The sequence below is a fragment of the Homo sapiens genome, chromosome 22 (genome assembly GCF_000001405.40).
Source record: "Homo sapiens chromosome 22, GRCh38.p14 Primary Assembly".
NCBI classification, from domain to species: domain Eukaryota; kingdom Metazoa; phylum Chordata; class Mammalia; order Primates; family Hominidae; genus Homo; species Homo sapiens.
This window is the reverse complement of record NC_000022.11, coordinates 29,719,942-29,737,134: the sequence shown is the minus strand read 5'-3', so window position 1 is coordinate 29,737,134 and position 17,193 is coordinate 29,719,942. Positions and strand designations below refer to the sequence as shown.

General features: G+C 61.3%; 2 protein-coding genes across 4 annotated transcripts in view, besides 2 other annotated features; one reads left to right on the top strand and one right to left on the bottom strand.

The window, feature by feature from the left end:
- The window catches only part of ZMAT5 (zinc finger matrin-type 5), a 36,052-nt gene extending 29,873 nt beyond the window's left edge, over positions 1-6,179 (top strand). For all 3 annotated transcript variants that reach the window (NM_001318129.2, NM_001003692.2, NM_019103.3), the window contains one exon: positions 5,781-6,179. In NM_001318129.2, coding sequence (NP_001305058.1) covers positions 5,781-5,910 — 130 coding nt within the window. In that variant the 3' untranslated portion in view covers positions 5,911-6,179. The remainder of the gene's footprint in view (positions 1-5,780) is intronic.
- Positions 3,611-3,700: a silencer, noted in NCBI's record as "silent region_13596". NCBI's record gives its function as "represses an Ori minimal core promoter by ATAC-STARR-seq in GM12878 lymphoblastoid cells {active_cell/tissue: GM12878}" and the evidence as "EXISTENCE:reporter gene assay evidence [ECO:0000049][PMID:35858748]".
- Positions 5,302-17,132, bottom strand: CABP7 (calcium binding protein 7). Its single transcript, NM_182527.3, has 5 exons — positions 16,602-17,132; positions 9,330-9,473; positions 8,393-8,505; positions 7,927-8,080; positions 5,302-7,693 (listed from the first exon to the last, which is right to left on the bottom strand). Exons 1-5 carry the CDS (start codon positions 16,708-16,710, stop codon positions 7,566-7,568), a joined length of 648 nt encoding a protein of 215 aa, NP_872333.1. The 5' UTR covers positions 16,711-17,132; the 3' UTR covers positions 5,302-7,565.
- Positions 15,033-15,823: an enhancer, noted in NCBI's record as "H3K4me1 hESC enhancer chr22:30117301-30118091 (GRCh37/hg19 assembly coordinates)". NCBI's record gives its function as "activates a minimal SCP1, AML or CMV promoter by ChIP-STARR-seq in naive H9 embryonic stem cells {active_cell/tissue: H9 hESC(naive)}" and the evidence as "EXISTENCE:reporter gene assay evidence [ECO:0000049][PMID:30033119]".
- Positions 17,133-17,193: the final 61 nt, after the last annotated feature.

Sequence of the window (17,193 nt, the reverse complement as noted above, 5' to 3'; positions counted from 1 at the left end):
TGGTCTTGAACTCCCGACTTCAGGTGATCCGCCTGCCTCGGCCTCCCAAAGTGCAACGTGTTGGGATTACAGGCATGAGCCACCACACTCGGCTTTTTTTTTTTTTTTTGAGACGGATTCTTGCTCTACCGCCCAGGCTGGAGTACAGTGGTGCAATTGTCTCATTGCAAACTCCACCTCTTGGGGTTCACGCCATTCTCCTGCCTCAGCCTCCTGAGTAGCTGGGACTACAGGCACCCGCCACCACGCCCGGCTAATTTTTTTGTGTGTTTTTAGTGGAGACGGGGTTTCACCATGTTACCCAGGATGGTCTCAATCTCCTGCCCTCCTGATCCACCCGCCTCAGCCTCCCAAAGTGCTGGGATTACAGGTGTCAGCCACCGCGCCCAGCCTTTTTTTTTTTTTTTTTTTTTTTGAGATGGAGTCTCGCTCTGTCACCCAGGCTGAAGTGCAGTGGCACGATCTCGGCTCACTGCAACCTCCGCCTCCTGGGTTCAAACATTTCTCATGCTGCAGCCTCCCAAGTAGCTGGGATTACAGGCATGCACCACCATGCCCGGCTAATTTTTGTATTTTTAGTAGAGACAGAGTTTCGCTGTGCTGGCCAGGCTGGTCTCGAACTCCTGACCTCAGGTGATTCACCTGCCTCAGCCTCCCAGAGTGCTGGGATTACAGGCATGAGCCACCGCACCCAGCCAGTAAAGGTGTTTTAAAACTAACTTTGTCTTTTACCTTTATTTTAAATCCGTGTTCAGTTTTTGTCTCCCCACCTTAAAAGTATATGTGGTACAGACATGACTCAAACGTTGGAGTGTGACATTCTCTCCTCCTGGTCCTGTCTGAAGGGTCCCGTCTAAAGGGGTTCTATCCTGTCTTTGTGCATGTGAGCACCTCCTTTGGGACTGGTTGCTGTCCAGGGATCCACGTCCTACACCCCAGACTCCTTCAGCCCGTGTGCAAAAGGCTTGAGCTGGTTGGAGGCTGCCCAGAAAGCTCTGGCCCCTGCACCGCTACTTGGACAGGATCTCCTATGAGTCCCATCCTCACTCTGCCACCTGCTAACCGAGTTGCACCAGCCACTCGCCTCCCTGCTCTGGGTCCATGGTGTCCTCCGCTGGGAGCGAGTCACAGAGGCCCGGCTGTCTCTTGGGGCTGTGACAAGGTTTCATGGAGTCCCTGTGGCTGAACTGGAGTGAGCACCAATGGGTGGGGTAGAGATGGGGTGCCCCAGAGTCCTTGCCTGGGTTCCAGACAGATGCATCCCTGTGCTGAAACAAGGCGCTATGAATTTGAGACTTGGGGGACTAGGGTACCAGATGGGGAAACTGAGGCTGAATGACTGGCTCCTAGTCACAGGTTGAAGTGGTGACCATATGAGAATTGAGTTTGGTGCTTACAGTGTTCCCAGTGTTTGGGGGCATTCAGGGAGATTGGCACCCCCATTTTGCATCTGAGGAATCTTAACCTCTCCAGGAGGTGGGGCCATCCTGATCACACGTGCCCTGCTGCCCTTAGCCCTCACTTGAGAGAGAGCTAGGTCCCTGCTCTGTGTCTAGACCCCAGGCTGCCTCTGACACCAAGTTCAGGGCTGGCCCAAGGCTCTGTGTGGCTGTGGGTAGTGGCAGTGGCAGCAGCAGGCTGCCCTGATGGCAGTGACTGTTTTGGGAATGATTGTTCTGCAACTGGAGCCCACCTTGGCTGTAGGGGGTCTGAGCCCTGTGCTCTGGGCCATTGTCCCTCTGGCCACCCAGCCTGGCCCCTTCCAGGGGATCTGCCACCTGCCTTCCTCCTGCCTCCTGAGGGCTTGGGGCCAAAATGAATTGTTCTCTAGGCAGAGCAGGCCTGTCCAGCCTTGAGAAAAAGGGGCTGTGGGAAGGGAGGTGACCGTTTATTCCTGCTTTTGCCATTGCTGCCTTGGGCGTCCATAACTGTCTCCGGGCAGGCTGGTCTCCTGAAGCCTAGCAGCCTTTCCCTCCGTCCTGGGCTTTGAGCCCCTCCCCTGCATCCACACCCCCTACCCTGCTTAATGGGAGGGGGTGGATTCCAGCCCCAGCCCCCGCAAGGCTACCTCACTTTCTTCCTGGCTCCCTCTCCAGCCTGGAGGCAGTGCTGCAGCAACAATGTTCTTCCTCCACCCTGGCTCTCCTGGGCACCCCAGCGGCCCCTCCCTGGTCTCCCACCTTCCCTCTGCTCCCGCGGGGGATCCTCCACACAGCAGCCCTGATGCACCCTGGCCCTGGCGCTTCCCCACATCCTCCACCTCTGGCCGCACAGCCCCATTTGCAGGGCTGGGGCTGGGGCTGGGGCGGGGGACCCTCCCTGATGCCTCCGCAGCCAGTCGGATCTCACCTTCTCACCTCTTGCCTCTGGCCTGACTGGTGGTCCCACTGGACACTCGGCAGCAGCTTAGATGAGGCATCATTTGTGATTTTGGAGCACCTTGCGCATGCTATTTTCTTGCCTGAAACTGCCTCCCACCTCTCTGCCTGGCAGAGTCAGACTTGTCCTGGAAGCTCTAGCTGAGACATCACCCCTCCCAGCCCCCGCTTCTCCTGCATGGCCTGGGCAGACTTGGGGGTGCCCAGGACAGGTTTACTGCATGAATGAGCATTTAGGCTGCTGTTCGGGCGTTCCCCAGGTGTTAGTGCTGCGAGCCTTTTGTGGGGCCTGGTCTGGAAGCCTGGGGGACCCCCTCTTCCTCTCAGGGTATCTGCTTCCTCCCCCAGAGTACAAGGCACAGAGAGCTGCCCACCCCACCTCGGGGAACCGAGACCTGCGGGCTCCAACCTCCGCTGGCTGAGCTGAGCCTCTCCAGTGAGCCAGGCCAGCCCTCCTTGTAAACATGGGGAAGTGGGGGTCCATGAAGCCCCAGCCTGGTGGCATAGCTCTTATCCCCCTCCGCAGACTGACCCTGAGGGATCTGTCAAGAGCAGCGGCGGCCTCAGACACACAGACTAATCCCTCGGCAAGGCCAGGCCTGGCCCTGCTGCCCATTGTTGGCTCTTCAGTTTGCGACTCTATCCCTCTTAATCTCTCCTTTGCACCCCTCTCTGGGCGGGCGCTGCCATCCTGGCCCATCCTCCTCCTCGACTCTGTTTCCTCTGATTAGGACCGCGGCTGGGAAAATGCAAGAGAGTGGCTCCTGTCCTCACGCACAGGACAAACAGGTCACCAGAGAAGCTACGAGCAGAGTTGTGCCAGACACGCACCTCAATGTCCCCAAGGCTTTGGCTCACGTGTCTGGGGCCCTGGCAGTGTGCCAGTGTGTGTGAGCAGGCACTGGGTATGCCTGTCTACTGGCGGGACCTCAGGGCAGGCAGGGGCACGGGGCTGAGACTTGGACCCAGGAGGTCCCAGGTTCCCAGGAATCTGCCCCATTTTCTAGAGGAAGGGCCTGAGGCTCAGGGGAAGGGGCTCCCCAGGATCACACCCTCCCTGGGGATCCCCACTGTCCCTGTGGCCCTGCAGGGAGCCCAGGCTTGGCTGGCAGCTAGGGCACTCCCTTCCAGCAACTGCGGAGCCTCCCCGCCTTCTCTGCGGCTGGTGGAGTTTATGAAATCTCCCCAGTGCCATAAATCATGTCAAGAGCTGCCTTCTGCACTTTCTAGCAGGCAGTGAGCCATGAAGCAGGGGATGTCCCTGTCCTCTCACACCTGGGGGTCCTGGAGGCTGCACCCAGAGCTCCCCGGAGTCCTTGACTCTGCATGGCAGGTCTGGTCCAGAGAGGGGCAGGTTGGGTGGGTGCAGCAGGGGAAACTCCCAGGGCTCCTGACCCCGGCTCTCCACCTCCCCCTCGGAGGTCAGAGGCCTCTCCAAACCCCTCTCCGCAGGCCCAAGCCCTTCTCTCTCTGCAGAGGGCTGGCCACTGGGCCCCTGAGCCTGCCAGGAGCTGCCAGGGCCTCACCTTGCCTGAAGGCTGGATGTTGGGGTGTGGGAGTGTGCCAGAGCAGAGGGAGCTGAAGTGGGAAGGCCGTGTCTGCAGCCGATGTGGGGCTGGTATTCCAGGCCCTCAGGCCTCATCCCGAGGGTGTCACTTGGTCACGTGACTGACTCCTTGCACCTCAGTTTCCTCATCTATAAAATGGGGTTCGCCTGAGGATTCTTAAGGTTTCTCTAGGTCATGGTGTGTGGCCCAGAATAGCACCTGGTCAGTAAGATCTTTCAGCATTGCTGTTTGTTCCACAATCACTGGGTGGCCTCCTGGCACCAGGCCTGGCCCTGCGCCTTGGGGTACAAATACACCTTACCCCTATCCCCTGGTCTACATCCTCTGGGGACTCCAGTCCTAAGTGGAAGACAGATGAGCTCCTGCCTGAATTTTGGCGGCGGCTGCATGGCACTCTCTGCTGTGGATGTGGATGTGCATGTGTACTTTTTTTTTTTTTTTTTTTTTTTGAGAAGGAGTCTCGCTCTGTCGCCCAGGCTGGAGTGCAGTGGCGCGATCTCGGCTCACTGCAAGCTCCACCTCCTTAGTCCACGTCATTCTCCTGCCTCAGCCTCCCAAGTAGCTGGGACTACAGGTGCCCCCCACCACACCCGGCTAATTTTTTTTTGTACTTTTAGTAGAGACGGGGTTTCACCATGTTAGCCAGGATGGTCTCGATCTCCTGATCTCGTGATCCACCCGCCTTGGCCTCCCAAAGCGCTGGGATTACAGGCGTGAGTCACTGCGCCCGGCCAATGTGCACGTGTACTTAATCAGTCCCCCACAGCTGGACATGAAGGCTACTTCCATTGTCTCACGGCTATTGCTGTAACTCAATGGCTGCCCACAACCCTGCTATTTCCTTGGGCTCAGTTCCTAGAGGTGAGGTTGCTGGTTCAAAGGGTCTGCATGTTTTTGAGGCTCTGCCTTCCAGAAAGGTCTTGTATAGGCAGCTGGGGTGATGGGAGTTCAAAGTGCTCAAAGGTTCAAAGTACTTCGAAGCCTGAGAAGGGCCATGCGGCCCTGGAGAAGCAGCATGCGTGGGGCCCAAGGCCAGAAGGATCTGAGTATGGGACAGGTGGAAGAATGGTTGGGGGGCCATCGCTGGGCCTTGGCAGGGTGCCCCGGGCTGGGCACGGAGGATGCCTCTCCTAGGGCAAGTACTTACATGGACCCCAAGTTCCAGGGGAGGTGGCTCGGGGTGGACGTTGAGGAGGAGGACAGTGAGTAGCATGAGAAATTAGGCTTTAAAAAAAAATTTAGACAATGTTTTTTTCTGATTTCAAAGGCTTGTGTGCTCGTAAAACTTTTGAGAAATATAAAGGAGTAAAAAAGTCACCCATAATGGCACCACTCAGATAGGACCACTGTTAACATTTTGCTGTGTCTTCCAGGATTTTTTTATGCATTTATATATTTTATATATTTTTAAACAAAAATAGTATCATGCTATATACATTATTTTATAAGCTGCTTTTTCTCCCTATCACACAGTATGTCTTTCCTCATCAGTGCATATAAATCTGCCTTAATTCTTACACAGGCCGCATGGCATTCTCTGCTGTGGACGTGCATATGTATTGAATCAGTCCCCCACAGGTGGACACGAAGGTTATTCCCATTGTCTCGCAGCTCAATGTCTGCCTGCAACCCCGCTATTTCCTTGGGCTCAGTTCCTAGAGGTGAGGTCGCTGGCTCAAACGGTCTGCCTATTTTCGAGGCTCTGCCTTCCAGAAAAGTCATGCAGGCAGCTGACCCTCCCCACAGCCAGGGTGGTGAGGCAGGTGGGCTGGGGGTGGCATAAGCCTGGGCTGTAGTGCACTCTTATTCTCCCCGCTTCTCTCTCTCTCTCTAGGGCTGAACCCATCAGAACCACTGTCTTCCAGTACCCCGTGGGCTGGCCACCAGTTCAGGAGCTGCCTCCATCCCTGCGGGCACCCCCACCTGGGGGGTGGCCTCTGCAGCCCAGAGTCCAGTGGGGCTGAGCCCCTTGCCCCCGACTGACCCCCACGTGGTCACTTTTCTCATCAGTCACAATAGGAAGCCAAGCCCGGTTCCTGCTACGCCCCATGGAGGCTCCGAGACCATCTGCCCAGCCTCACTGAGGCTCAGGACACGGCCACACCAAGTGCAGCCCTCGTCCTGGGTCTGCACCGGGCAGCTCTCCCCTCACTCTCCTCCACCTGCCCCCCTGCTTCTTAAGAAGATGGGGGAGAAAACTTCCAAATGTTTATAAAGAAAGTCTGTCACCACAGTGGTCTGGCTGTGTTTCCCTACACTGGGTGCTCTGAGCTCTGTTCTCCAGCCCCTAGCAGAGGTCGGGCAAGGAGGGAATCAGATGAGATTTTCCCCAGGTGACCCACGCTCACTCCCTTCTCCCTTGGGACCAGCAGAGGTTCAGCACGGCCAGGCAGAGGGTGTGCCAGGGTGGCTGTGCCCGTTGCCTGGTAAGAAGTGGCTCTAGGCCCAAGGAGCCCAAGGGCTCCATCTGCCATCCCCGCCCTGGAAGAATCCACAGCCCCCATGTCTGCCCATGCTGAGCTGCTGCCCAAGTATTTGGGATGGCACAGCTGGGGCATGGGAGCGGGGTCTCCAACCTTGAGGGCGTAGAGAAGTGGGAGGACAGGAGGGCAGGCCCTGGGCTGAGAGAGTGGCCTGGCGCAGCCTCTTGGCACTGACAGTGTGGGGCTGTGCCAGTTTCTTGGCCCAGGAGGTAGTACAGGGGCCCTCCCAAAGTTCAGCCCTGGAGGAGCCCCCTGGCTGGAGGCTGCTCAGAGCCTTCAGGCCCCAGCTCTGCCTCCTTCCTCAGCTGGACTACAGTTCTAGGCTCTAGGCTGGGGTGGTGGACAATGTGGCCTTGGTAGCTGGGCCTCTGGTGGGAGGGCCAGAAGGTGGGGGGCTGCAGGGCCACCTCAGATGCCCATCCTCCACGAGCTTCTGCCTTTCCTGAAAATCCCTGTGGAAGGAAGAACTGAGGCCAAGTCTCGGGGCCCTGAGCCTCGGGTTCCTCACCTGTGAAATGGGCTGGCCCAGCAGGTACATGGAGAAAAGGGGGTCTGGGTTGGGGTCCAACGAGGGTCAGAGGAAGGGGCCCAAGGAGAAGACCAGGGGCCTCCTCAGGCTATGCCAGGCAGCAAGGCCCAGGACACCCTGGCTTCCCACCCTCCCCCAGGAGAAGGCTTTCTGTCCCTGCCTGTGCCCTGTGCCCTGGGCAGACCTCAGGGACCAGGGCTGGGTTGGCTGTGTGGCCCCAGATAGGCTGCTGTCTCAAGGCACAGGGTGCCCGCTCCTGCCCAAGGGACCACAGCAGCGACTGGGTCCTGGGGGTTCCTGTGCAAATCCCTCCTTAATTTCCCAGGAGCCCCTGGATGGTAGGAAGAGTGAGTGCTCCTTACAGGCCAGGGTGGGGACAGGGTGGGGCTGGGGACCATCCTCAGAGCCACCACCCGGCCCTCCACAGCCAGGCCACAGCTCCAGGTGAGGACCGTGGGTGGGTGGGGAGGGCTCGCTGGATACCCAGGCCCTGAAGTACACGCAGATGGCGGCCCAGGGAGCCGGCCAAGGGAGAGGTCTGCAGGCGGCGGTGGTGTGGGGCGGGCCACGGGCACCGCATGCGGTGGATGGGGCATCCAGGTGGCGTCTACTTCATGCCACTGCGCAGCACCTGGTTGGCCGCAATGAGCATGACACTGATGATGAAGGCGATGGCGAAGGCGCAGATGAGACTCTTGCGCACGCAAGTCTGGCGGATCTGCTGGTTGGAGCAGGCTGTGGCCGCCCGCCGGGAGCACCGGGGAGACAGAAGGGGACATCAAAGCGATGGAGTCAGGAGCCGCCTGCCCTTCGGCACATGGGCTCATCCCATGGGGTGCCCCAATGGGACAGAGGCTTAGGACAGGCAAGGAGGCCCCCAGCCCCCCTCTGCAGACTCTCCCCACCCCGTGCGTCCCCCTGGCCAAGTCACTGGGCCCACCCGTGGGGTTCCAGGGCCAGCCACTCACTCTCCACATCCACGGGACACTCCTCGGCTGTGCCCAGGTGGCTCTCCTCCTCCGTCATGATGATGTTCTCTATGTCCTTCATGGACAGGTGCTCGCAGAAGGTGTCGTAGAGCAGCCGCTTCAGCTCATCCACCGTCAGCTTCTGCATGTCGCACTTGCGGAGGGGGACAACACGGTGCTCTGAGAGCCACCGCAGCCCCCACCCAGCACCCCACGGCCATACAGACCCGGTGACAGGCCTCTAGATTCTGGGGGGCTGGAAAACACTTGCTCCATTCCCCCAGAGAGTCCTTGACCAACACCGGCCTCCCCAGGGAGCCCATGGCCCTCTGAGAGGTGAAATGTCCAGTGGACACAAGCCTGAAGTGGTCATCCCCCCTTTACAGTGTGGGCCCAGCCATTCACTGGCTCCAGAACAGAACTCCACAGTGTGCACAGCCCTGGGTCCCAACTAGCCAGGGGATACCTTCCAGAAGACAGTATCAAAGTCGGTGCCATGGAACTTCTCTGGGATCCCTGAGGTGGAGAGTTTGGGTCCCAGAAGGGTCACAAACTCCTCAAAGTCCACTTGACCATCACCTGGTGGAGGCACAGGTCCAATCAATCAGTGGGTAGGGCCCAGGCCTGCAGCCCAGGGCCCAGAGGTCCTGGGATGGAGTCTTGATACACCTTGGGCCTACCGGGTGGCCTTAGGCAGGTGCCCGCCTTCTCTGAGCCTTGAGTCAGTGTCAGGGGCATCTACCAAGTGCCAGGCTCTGGGCTGACGCTGAAGCCACCCAGTGTGATGAGGCCTTACAAGGGGAGGTGGAGGTAGACAGCAGGTGGGCCGTGACCCTCCTATTTCACCCAGAACCCTCCGTTGCTCCCAGCACCCTGCGGCCATCCTGGGGTGGGCCATCCTCCACCATATAGACAGGAACTGAAGCTCAGAGTGGGGCAACCTGCCAAGGCTGTCACCTGGCCTCTGGATGGAGAAGAGGAGAAGAAGGGCCCGGGTGGGATAAAGAGGGGGCTTGGCATCACTATTCCTTATGAACTTTTCCTTAATAAAATGCCAGGTGGCAAACACAACTCAAGTAGTCATTTTATCTCAGGTGGTGGGAACTGGAGTATTTATTGCATCCTTTTACTTCTCTGTACTTTAAAACTTCTCAACACAGAGTGAAAGGAGCCATCTCTGAGCCCTGCATGTGGCTGGGACTGTCACTACCTCTCTGGCCTCAATTCTCCAGGCTGAGAAATGGGGCCAGACCGGGCTGCAACCTGCCACGGACTTTGAGGGTGGGAGTCAGGGGAGCGAGAGACCCAATTTGGATGCAGCCTCAGCAGCTCAGGCCCCAGCCCCTGCCCCACCCCCAGGGCCCAGATGCCAGGTGGGGAAACCGAGGCGGGGGGGTGCTCACCATCCATGTCCAGCCGCTGGATGATGACCTCCAGCTCCACCTCGTTGGGCATGTAACCCAGTGAGCGCATGGCTGTGCCCAGCTCCTGCTTGGAGATGAAGCCATTGCCGTCACGGTCAAACACCTTGAAGGCCTCTCGGATCTCTGAGGAGAGAATGGAGTAGGCTGGGACTTCACCCCGGTCCCCAACAGACCCCCTTTCCAGACCCCCAGGATCACCGACCCTGCAGCCTGAGCATGGCCTTGAGAGCCCAACCCAGAGCCTGCAGATCTGGTGAGAGCATGGCCCGAGGGTGCACAAGGGTGCCGTATTCTGGGACCTCTGGGCAGGCTGAGCAGGGCAGTAAAGCAGGGCTCAAGGCCCCCCAGCAGTGACCTCTTGGGATCTGATTGCGCCAGGCTCTCACAGCCTCTCCTGGTGTGCTCACAACGACCCCGTGTGGTGGGGACCACGTGCAGGGGAGGATGCTGGATCTCCCCGGCCCCCGCGGCTGCTGACGGCTTCCCCACCCGCCCCCATTCCTTTCATCCCCCTCTCCCCCACCATCTCCATCCCGCTGCGCCTCCTCCCCCAGGCTCGGATCCTTAGATCCTTAACACCGGCCAACACTTGCTAATGGCAGCCACGTGAGGCAGCTTGCTCCAGACTAATGGGCTGACAGGCGGCACAGACCTCTTTTGGTTCAGGGAAGACAGAGGGGGAAGGAGCCCCCCTCCAGGTCCAGGCCAGACCAGACTGGGTGGGGGGTCGCCCTCCACACTGTACGGAGCAGAAGACCGAGGCCTGATGACCTCGGTGACTCAGGTGGTGAGCAATGCACTGCGCTGGGAGCCCGGGGAACAAGCAACCCAACCTGTGACCTTGGGCCAGCCTCAGTTTTACCCACAGTGAAATGGGCAGAATGATGGTGGGGACTCCCTGGCACACAGTTGAGGGGGTCCTCACCTGTCACCTTAGCTGTACTGCTGTCTCTTCTGTTTCTCTGTTTTTAAGGGCTGCTGTCCCTTAATCATCACAGCCCCAGCAGGGCCCTAAACAGCATTTGCCTTTGGGAGTGGGGGGCGGGGCTCGATGCTCTCTCCGGCTCCCGGGGGTCTCCTTGTTTGCTTGCCAGCCACCTGGCCTTTGCCTAAGCTGTTCCCCTGGGTGGACTTTTAGCTTTCAGCAGGCAGAATCAATCTCCTCATGTGAGAGAGGGTGTGTATCTGTGTGTTTAAAAGTAGAGACACGCGAGGTGCTCCGTGCTGCAGACCAGAAACAGGCTGAGAGAGCCCCAGCGGCCGGCCCAGAGTCAGCGTGGGCTCAGAGCTGCTGTTGCTTGGGCTGGCCCAGGCCTTGCCTTAAGGGGTCCATGAACCCTGAAACTGCTCATAGGACCTTGCACTTTGGAGTCATTCCCTAGTCTCGGGGGACAGGGGAGCCTAGCCCAGCCTGTTGGTCTCACCACAGACTAGGGGCCATGGCCCGGAGAGGATGGCCACATGTCCCAGGCCACACTTCGAGGTGGCTTGGGCGGAGGCCCCACCCTTATCAGGCTTATCCCACTGGTGTCCACACCCAAGGCCTGAGGGTCAGACAGGCTCACATGTGCACCGGGGTTGCCTGGGCCCCCAGACTTTCTGACTCTGGACTTCCCCTTCACTCATCCCACCAGGACCTGGGAATCTCGTCTCCTAACCAATGGCCCCGGGGCCAGGGAAGCATCTGGGCGGGGAGGTCTGTGCCAGGGCCACAGGATTCTGCAAACCCTGGACTCTGGGAACTCCAGGCCAATTCCCACCTGGAGCTTTCCTGGGCCACCAAAGAGGTGGTGAGCTCCCCGTCACAGGGGATGTGTGAGCTGAGGCCTGTCAGCCACGGAGGCTGCTGAGGGGATTCCGGTCCCTAGAGCCTCTAGGTAGAGCTGGAGGCATCTGCACACACACGCTTAGGTTTCCGGCCAGCACTGCTGGCCTCCTCGCCCGGCCACATGTTCTGCCCACCCCAGGTGTCCTGAACTCCATCCAGGCTAGGGGCCCTCTCGGTCCTGTGGGTACCAGGACTGCTCCATCTCCAGTCCTTTGAACACGCAGCCCATTTTGCCTGAAGTGCTCTTCTGCTCGCCGTGGCAAACCCCGACACAACCCCAGCTCTCAGCTTGAACGGCACCATCTCCCTGGTGCCCTCCCTGTTCCCCACTGGCCAGCTCTGGCCCTCCTCTGGGCCCCCACAGGCCCTGCTCTTGCCCCATCCTTGCATGGGCCACGCTGGATTGTGCACTACAAGGGCCATGACAGCAGGGAGGGGCTGGTCTTGTTCGTGGCTGTGTCCCTGTTGCCTGGAACGGGGCCTGCCTCTTCGAGCATAAACATTTGCTGAATGAATGATGAAATGAATGAATGACTGATGTGGGGAGCCCATCCATCTGAAGCACGCAGTTCTCTGGCTCTTCTGAGCAGCAGTTCACATACCGCTTGCTGTGAAGCCGCTACTCAGAGCCCACGAACAATCCTGGTTAGGGGACACGTTCATTTCCACTCCCCAAGCAGCCGAGAAGCAGACAGGGAGGCTGAGGAGGCTGCTTGATCCCTTTTCCAGCCCCCAAGGATGCCATCCCCACCTGCCTGCGGGCCACCCGTGGAAGAGGGGCCTCAAGCTGAAGACGAGTGGGGGCCAGACGGTGGTGTGGGGAAGGAGGACCAGGGTCAGGCACCGCTCCTCCTCCTCCCTTTCCTCCTCTGCAGGGTCCTGCCTGGGAGATGTCAGGGAGGGATGGCAAAGTCCTGGACTCACAGTAGGGGATGCAGTGGGAGCCACCCCCTCCCCTGCCTGCTGTGAGCTGAGCTCCAGGTCATCCCTCCTACCCTTCGGGAGCTCCCAGAGCCCAGGGCTGCTTTGCTGGAGCCCCTGAGTCCCTTTGCTGGAGACCCTGAGAAAACGCACTGGGCCGAGGGGAGCCAGGGGAAGGCAGGTGAATATTGGGATGCACGGGCAGGCGATAAGCTGGGAGGCAGCCCTGCAGGCCCAGCAGCCTTTTCTCAGGCAAGGCTTACCTTCCCAGGCCACTAGGTAAATCCACACACTGCCACCTCCCCATGCATGAGTCCCTTTAACACCCCTCCTTGGCACATCCAACACACCACAAAGTCTCACCTTGGTGCCTTTGCCTGTGCTGGGAGCCCTGCCCCAGCCGACTCCCACCCGCCCACAGAGGCCGGGTTCAGGCACCACCTTCCCAGCCAGGGAGGCAGCCTGAAGTGGCAGAGACCCAAGGTCAAGTCCCAGCTCTCCTACATCCTGGCAGGGTGACCTTGGGCAGGTATTTGCTCACCTGTACAATGGGGCTGCTGGGATGATTAAGCAATAAAATCAAGCATGTGTCTGGCTGGTCCTGGCTCAGAGATGGATGCTATAAATCAGAATGTCCCAGATAGCAGAGCCAGAAGAAGAGGGAGGACTGAGTGAGCTTGGGACACCAGGCCACCTTTCCTGTTGGCGGTCGCTGGGACCAGAGGCCTGGGCTTGGATTCTGGCTATCCTGCTTAGCAGCCCAGTGGCCTGGGCAAGTCACGTCCCTCTCTAAGCCTCGGGTGTCTCATCTGTGAAATGGGGAGCGACTCCGGCACCATCACTGAAGCCCGGCCTCTGCCGGGGGCTCCCTGAGTGGGGCAGGTGTCGTGATTTCCTGCCACCGTTGTGCCATCAGCACCCCACAGCTGGGTGCATTTCCCCGAAAGCCTTGCTCCCTTCCCGTCCCGTAAGGCCAAGGGTAGCCTGACGGGTACCATCTTGGCATGAGGATGCTGGCAATGGGCTGGCAGGGCCACCAGGTTTCCAGGCTGACCTGCCCCCTACCTGCCACCTCCAGCCTAACATCCCCCAATGTCCTTCTCAACCTGTGGAGTTTCATCAGGGCCCAAGTCCCCAGCAGACTCCAAGGGACATCCGCACTCCATCAGGCAGCCAGAGTCCAGAGGGCAGGCACTGGCTGGAGGTCACTGAAGAGGGTAGTGTCCATCCTCCGCAGTGGCTGCTACTCTCCGTGGCACTGGCCCCGTGCCCCACCACTCTGGCCTCCCTGAGCTTTTGGCTGTGCAGAGGCGGCTCCTGGCCTTGCAGGGCAGAGAGGTAGGAAAGGGGACTCCCCAGCCTCCCCTGCCCTAAAGGCCCCCATTTGGCCACTCTCAATGAAGGCTCCACTCACAGACTGGGCAGGCCAAGTGTCAGCCCCAGAGCCCTACCCTGGGGACTGTCTGCCTGGAGGTCTGACTCCTTCCTCCTCTCTTCGGCCAGAAAGGGCTAAGACTTGCAGCCACCCCATTCCCACCCTTGGGTGCTCGAGTCAGCTGATGGTGCTGGGACCAGCCTCAGTGTTCCTGGAGGACTCTGCTGTGTGTGTATGTTGGAAAAGGTGTATGTCCCAGCCATGGTGGGCACACAGAGGGGATCTAAGAGAGTCCGTGCCTGTCCCTCACAGGGCCTGGGTGGGCCTCAGGCCAGCTCTGTGCAGCCACATTCCTACCCTGCCAACTGCCCTCCATGCCTCCCCAGGGCCACAGGTCCCCAGAGACCTTTTCCAGACCTTCAAGGCCTTTTCCACCCAGCTCTCCCTGCCAGCCTGCCCTTCTGGCTCAGCCTCCTGCACACCCTCACGGGCCTGGGCCCTGCACGCTCCAGCCTCTTACCCCCGCAGGGCCTCCCCTCATGTTGCATCTGGGTCCCTGAGCCCCCTGTGCTAGGTAGGTACTTTCACTGCATCCTCCATCACCAGCCCCCCTTTTATAGGTGGGGAAACCAAGGCTCAGAGAGGTGAGCGATTGCCCAAGGTCACTCCATGAGCTGAAGGTGCAGAGACTCAAACCCAGCGCCGCCTGGCTGGGAAGCCCTCATCTTAACTCTGTGCTTCCCACCTCCCTGCCTGGTCCTCCTTTCCGCTCAGACTGACCGCCCCCTGGATTTCTGCGGCAGGCACGTACTGTCTGCAGCATTCCATCCCGGGCTGCCCAGCTCCCTCTTCCTGGCACATGTGGCTCCTCCGCGAATGGCGTCCTCCCGGCAGAGGGCCTGGGTCTCGCCCAGACCGCCCTGGGGCAGGAGCACTCATGAGGCCCTGCAGAGGCGGAGAGGGCAGAGGGGGATCCGTGCCAGGAATGGCCAGCCCTGGCATTCAAGGACTGCTGAAAGGGACCTGGGGCCGCCAGAGGGCTTTTAGGGCACCTGCAGCCAAGAAGGGGGCTGGTCATGGAAAACTTCTTGCCTTCATCTGTAGCTGCCCACTGGGCCAGAGATGAGCTGGGACCACCCAGGCATCTGTCTACTCCATGACCCCACCTGCCCATCCCAGGGAGGGCCCTGCCCTTCAGATGCCCCCTGAGTCAGGGCCCCTCAGCTCCCCAGGGCCCAGGAGAAGGGGACAGGAGAGAAGCGGGGAGGGCACTTGTTGTGGCTGGTGACTAACGCAGCTGGGCTCCTGCCAGCACGCCATGTCGTTGGTTGGGGAGCCTGCGGCCTTGCCCCTGCACTGCCCACCCTGCGGCCCCTCGCCCCTGCAGCCAGCCTCTCAGCCTCTCCCCTTCCTCAGGGAGTGCACTCCAGGACTGGGGATCAGGAGAGGAGGGACCCAGAAAGGGCTGGAGTTGGGGTGGTGGGGTCCTGGTGGGGGTGCTGGGAGCAAGGGGAGGGAGTGAAGCGGAAGCTGCCTGGGGTCTGGGAGACATGGTGACTCCTGCTTGGATGGTCAGGAGGAGGGGATGGATGAGGGCCTCTGGAGGGAAAAATCTGCAGGAGGTTTGAGGTGGCCCAGGGCCGGAGGGGACAAAGGTGGGGAGGAGAAGGCCTATGCTCCATCTCCTGACCTTTCGCCCCCCACCATCGTACCCCTCCTTTCCCCGGGCTCTGGAGGAGGCTCTGGCCCTGGGTTTTAGGGGTGAATGGTGAGGTCATGTCGGGGGGCCCCAATCATCCATCTGTCCTGTCCGCATCAGACCCCAGACCCTGTCTCCACAGCTCTCCCCGCTTCTGAGGGTTTGCAGGGGCAGTTGGTGAGGAGCCTGGTGGCTCATGCCTATGGTGCAGTGAGCGAGGCAGAGGCTGCCTTCTCTCTCTGGATCTTCCCCCGACCCATTCTGACTCCTCTAAGATCTGCCCTCACCCTGGGCCTGGGTTGAGGGAGGACCTCCCTCCATGGCTTCCCCTGGGCTCCCACCATCCTCCCTGACTGTGCTGGTCTTGGCTGCACCCTCCCAGGCCCTAATGAGCCTCCAGATCTCAGAGACCCCTGGATCCAAGGTACCCCGAGAGGCCCATCCTCTGGGTGAGCTCAGCCCCTTGCAACAGCAGACATGCAGATCCCAGGAGGCCGTGACCCCCATCAGCCCAGATCCCCCACTCCACTCCATATGGGGGCTCCAGGAGGTCTGGGGGGAGGGGAAACCTCAGCACCTCCCCCAGCCCAGCAGGGAAGGAGCTGGGCGGGCCCCAGGGGTCTCACTGCTCCTCAGGACACACTGTCCCGGACCCCTGCCCCTGCCCTCTGCTCTGACCTCGCCCAGCCAGCGGCCTGCCATCCCCCTGCGAGTCTGAGAGGCAGGGGGAACGGGGTGGGGGCGGGTTTGGGTCCTGGCCTCTCTGCCTTTCCCTTCCAGGCTTGGCTATCGCGACTTAGCCGCCCAGTCCGGCCACTTGTTGTCGCCACCGCCTCCCGGGCCGCCTTCCCGGCGCGCCGGGCTGGGGGTCCCCGCAGGGCTGCAGGGAAGGGGCTACGGCCGCAGGTGGGGACGGGGGCGGCCCCGCAGCGGGCAAGAGCAGGGCAGTCGCCCTCTCCCCTTCTGCTGCTGCCCGAGCAGATTGAATTTTTAAAGCGACACGAGCGGAATGTCAATGCGAGCAGAGAGCCGCGGGCGGGCGCCGCGGAGGGGATCAGGATGCGGGTGCTCCGGCCGGGCCGGCGCTGGGGGCTCAGCGCGGACCCCCGCCCCAGTCCGCCGCGTTGCCGCACCGTCACCGCCGACTGCGCGGCCCCGTGACCCCGCTGCGGGGCCCGGCAAGTTTCCGCAGCGCTGGGGACCACGCGGGCAGGGGCTGGGCCGCTCTCCGCCTGAGCGACCCCCACCGCGGCGCCCCGGGGTGCGGACAGGTCTTGCCGCGGGGCACAGCTGCTAGCTGGGGCGCCCACCTGGCAACCGGCACCTGCGGACCGCCCCCCGCCCCCCGCCCCCGCGCCCCTGGCCCGCGCTTCACCTGGGCGCACAGGTAGGAGGGCCGCCGGGGCGGGGATCCCGGCGGACACTCACCCTCCAGCTCGTCCTCCGGGATGTCCACCGGGCGCTGCTCCGACAGCAGGTTGGGCACGGTGTAGATGCCCCGGTACATCAACGCCGCCGTCACCGGGTGGAACGGCATCTTGGAGGCTCCGCGCCCGCCCGCCCGCCGCAAACTTTGAGGCCGGGGCTCATGGGCCGGTGGCGGCCCCGGGGGCGGCTGGAGCGGGCGGGGCGCGCGGCTGCGGAGGGCGGCGGCGGCAGCGGCGAGGCTGGGGACGCCCCTCCGGGGGCCTAGCGCCCCCGCGCCCCGGGCCGCCGGGCCATGCCGCCCGCTCCCTCGTCGGGCTCCCAGCCGGGGCCCCGCAGGGGCAGCGGGGGCGGCGCCGCTCTGGCCTTTCCGAGAGCTCCGGCTGCCTCGCGCGGTGCCCGCCGCGCCCGCTCCTCGGTGCCCCGCGCGCTCCGCGCTGCTCGCCGCCCGCTAGTCCGCTCGCCGGCGCGGCCGCTACCGGCCCGGCGCTCAGGCTGTAGCCGCCTCTCCGCTCGCTCGCTCGCTCGTTCTGTGCCGCGCTGGCTGCGCTCCCCGCCTCCCCCGCCAGCCGCCCGCCCGCCCCCTCCGCGCTCC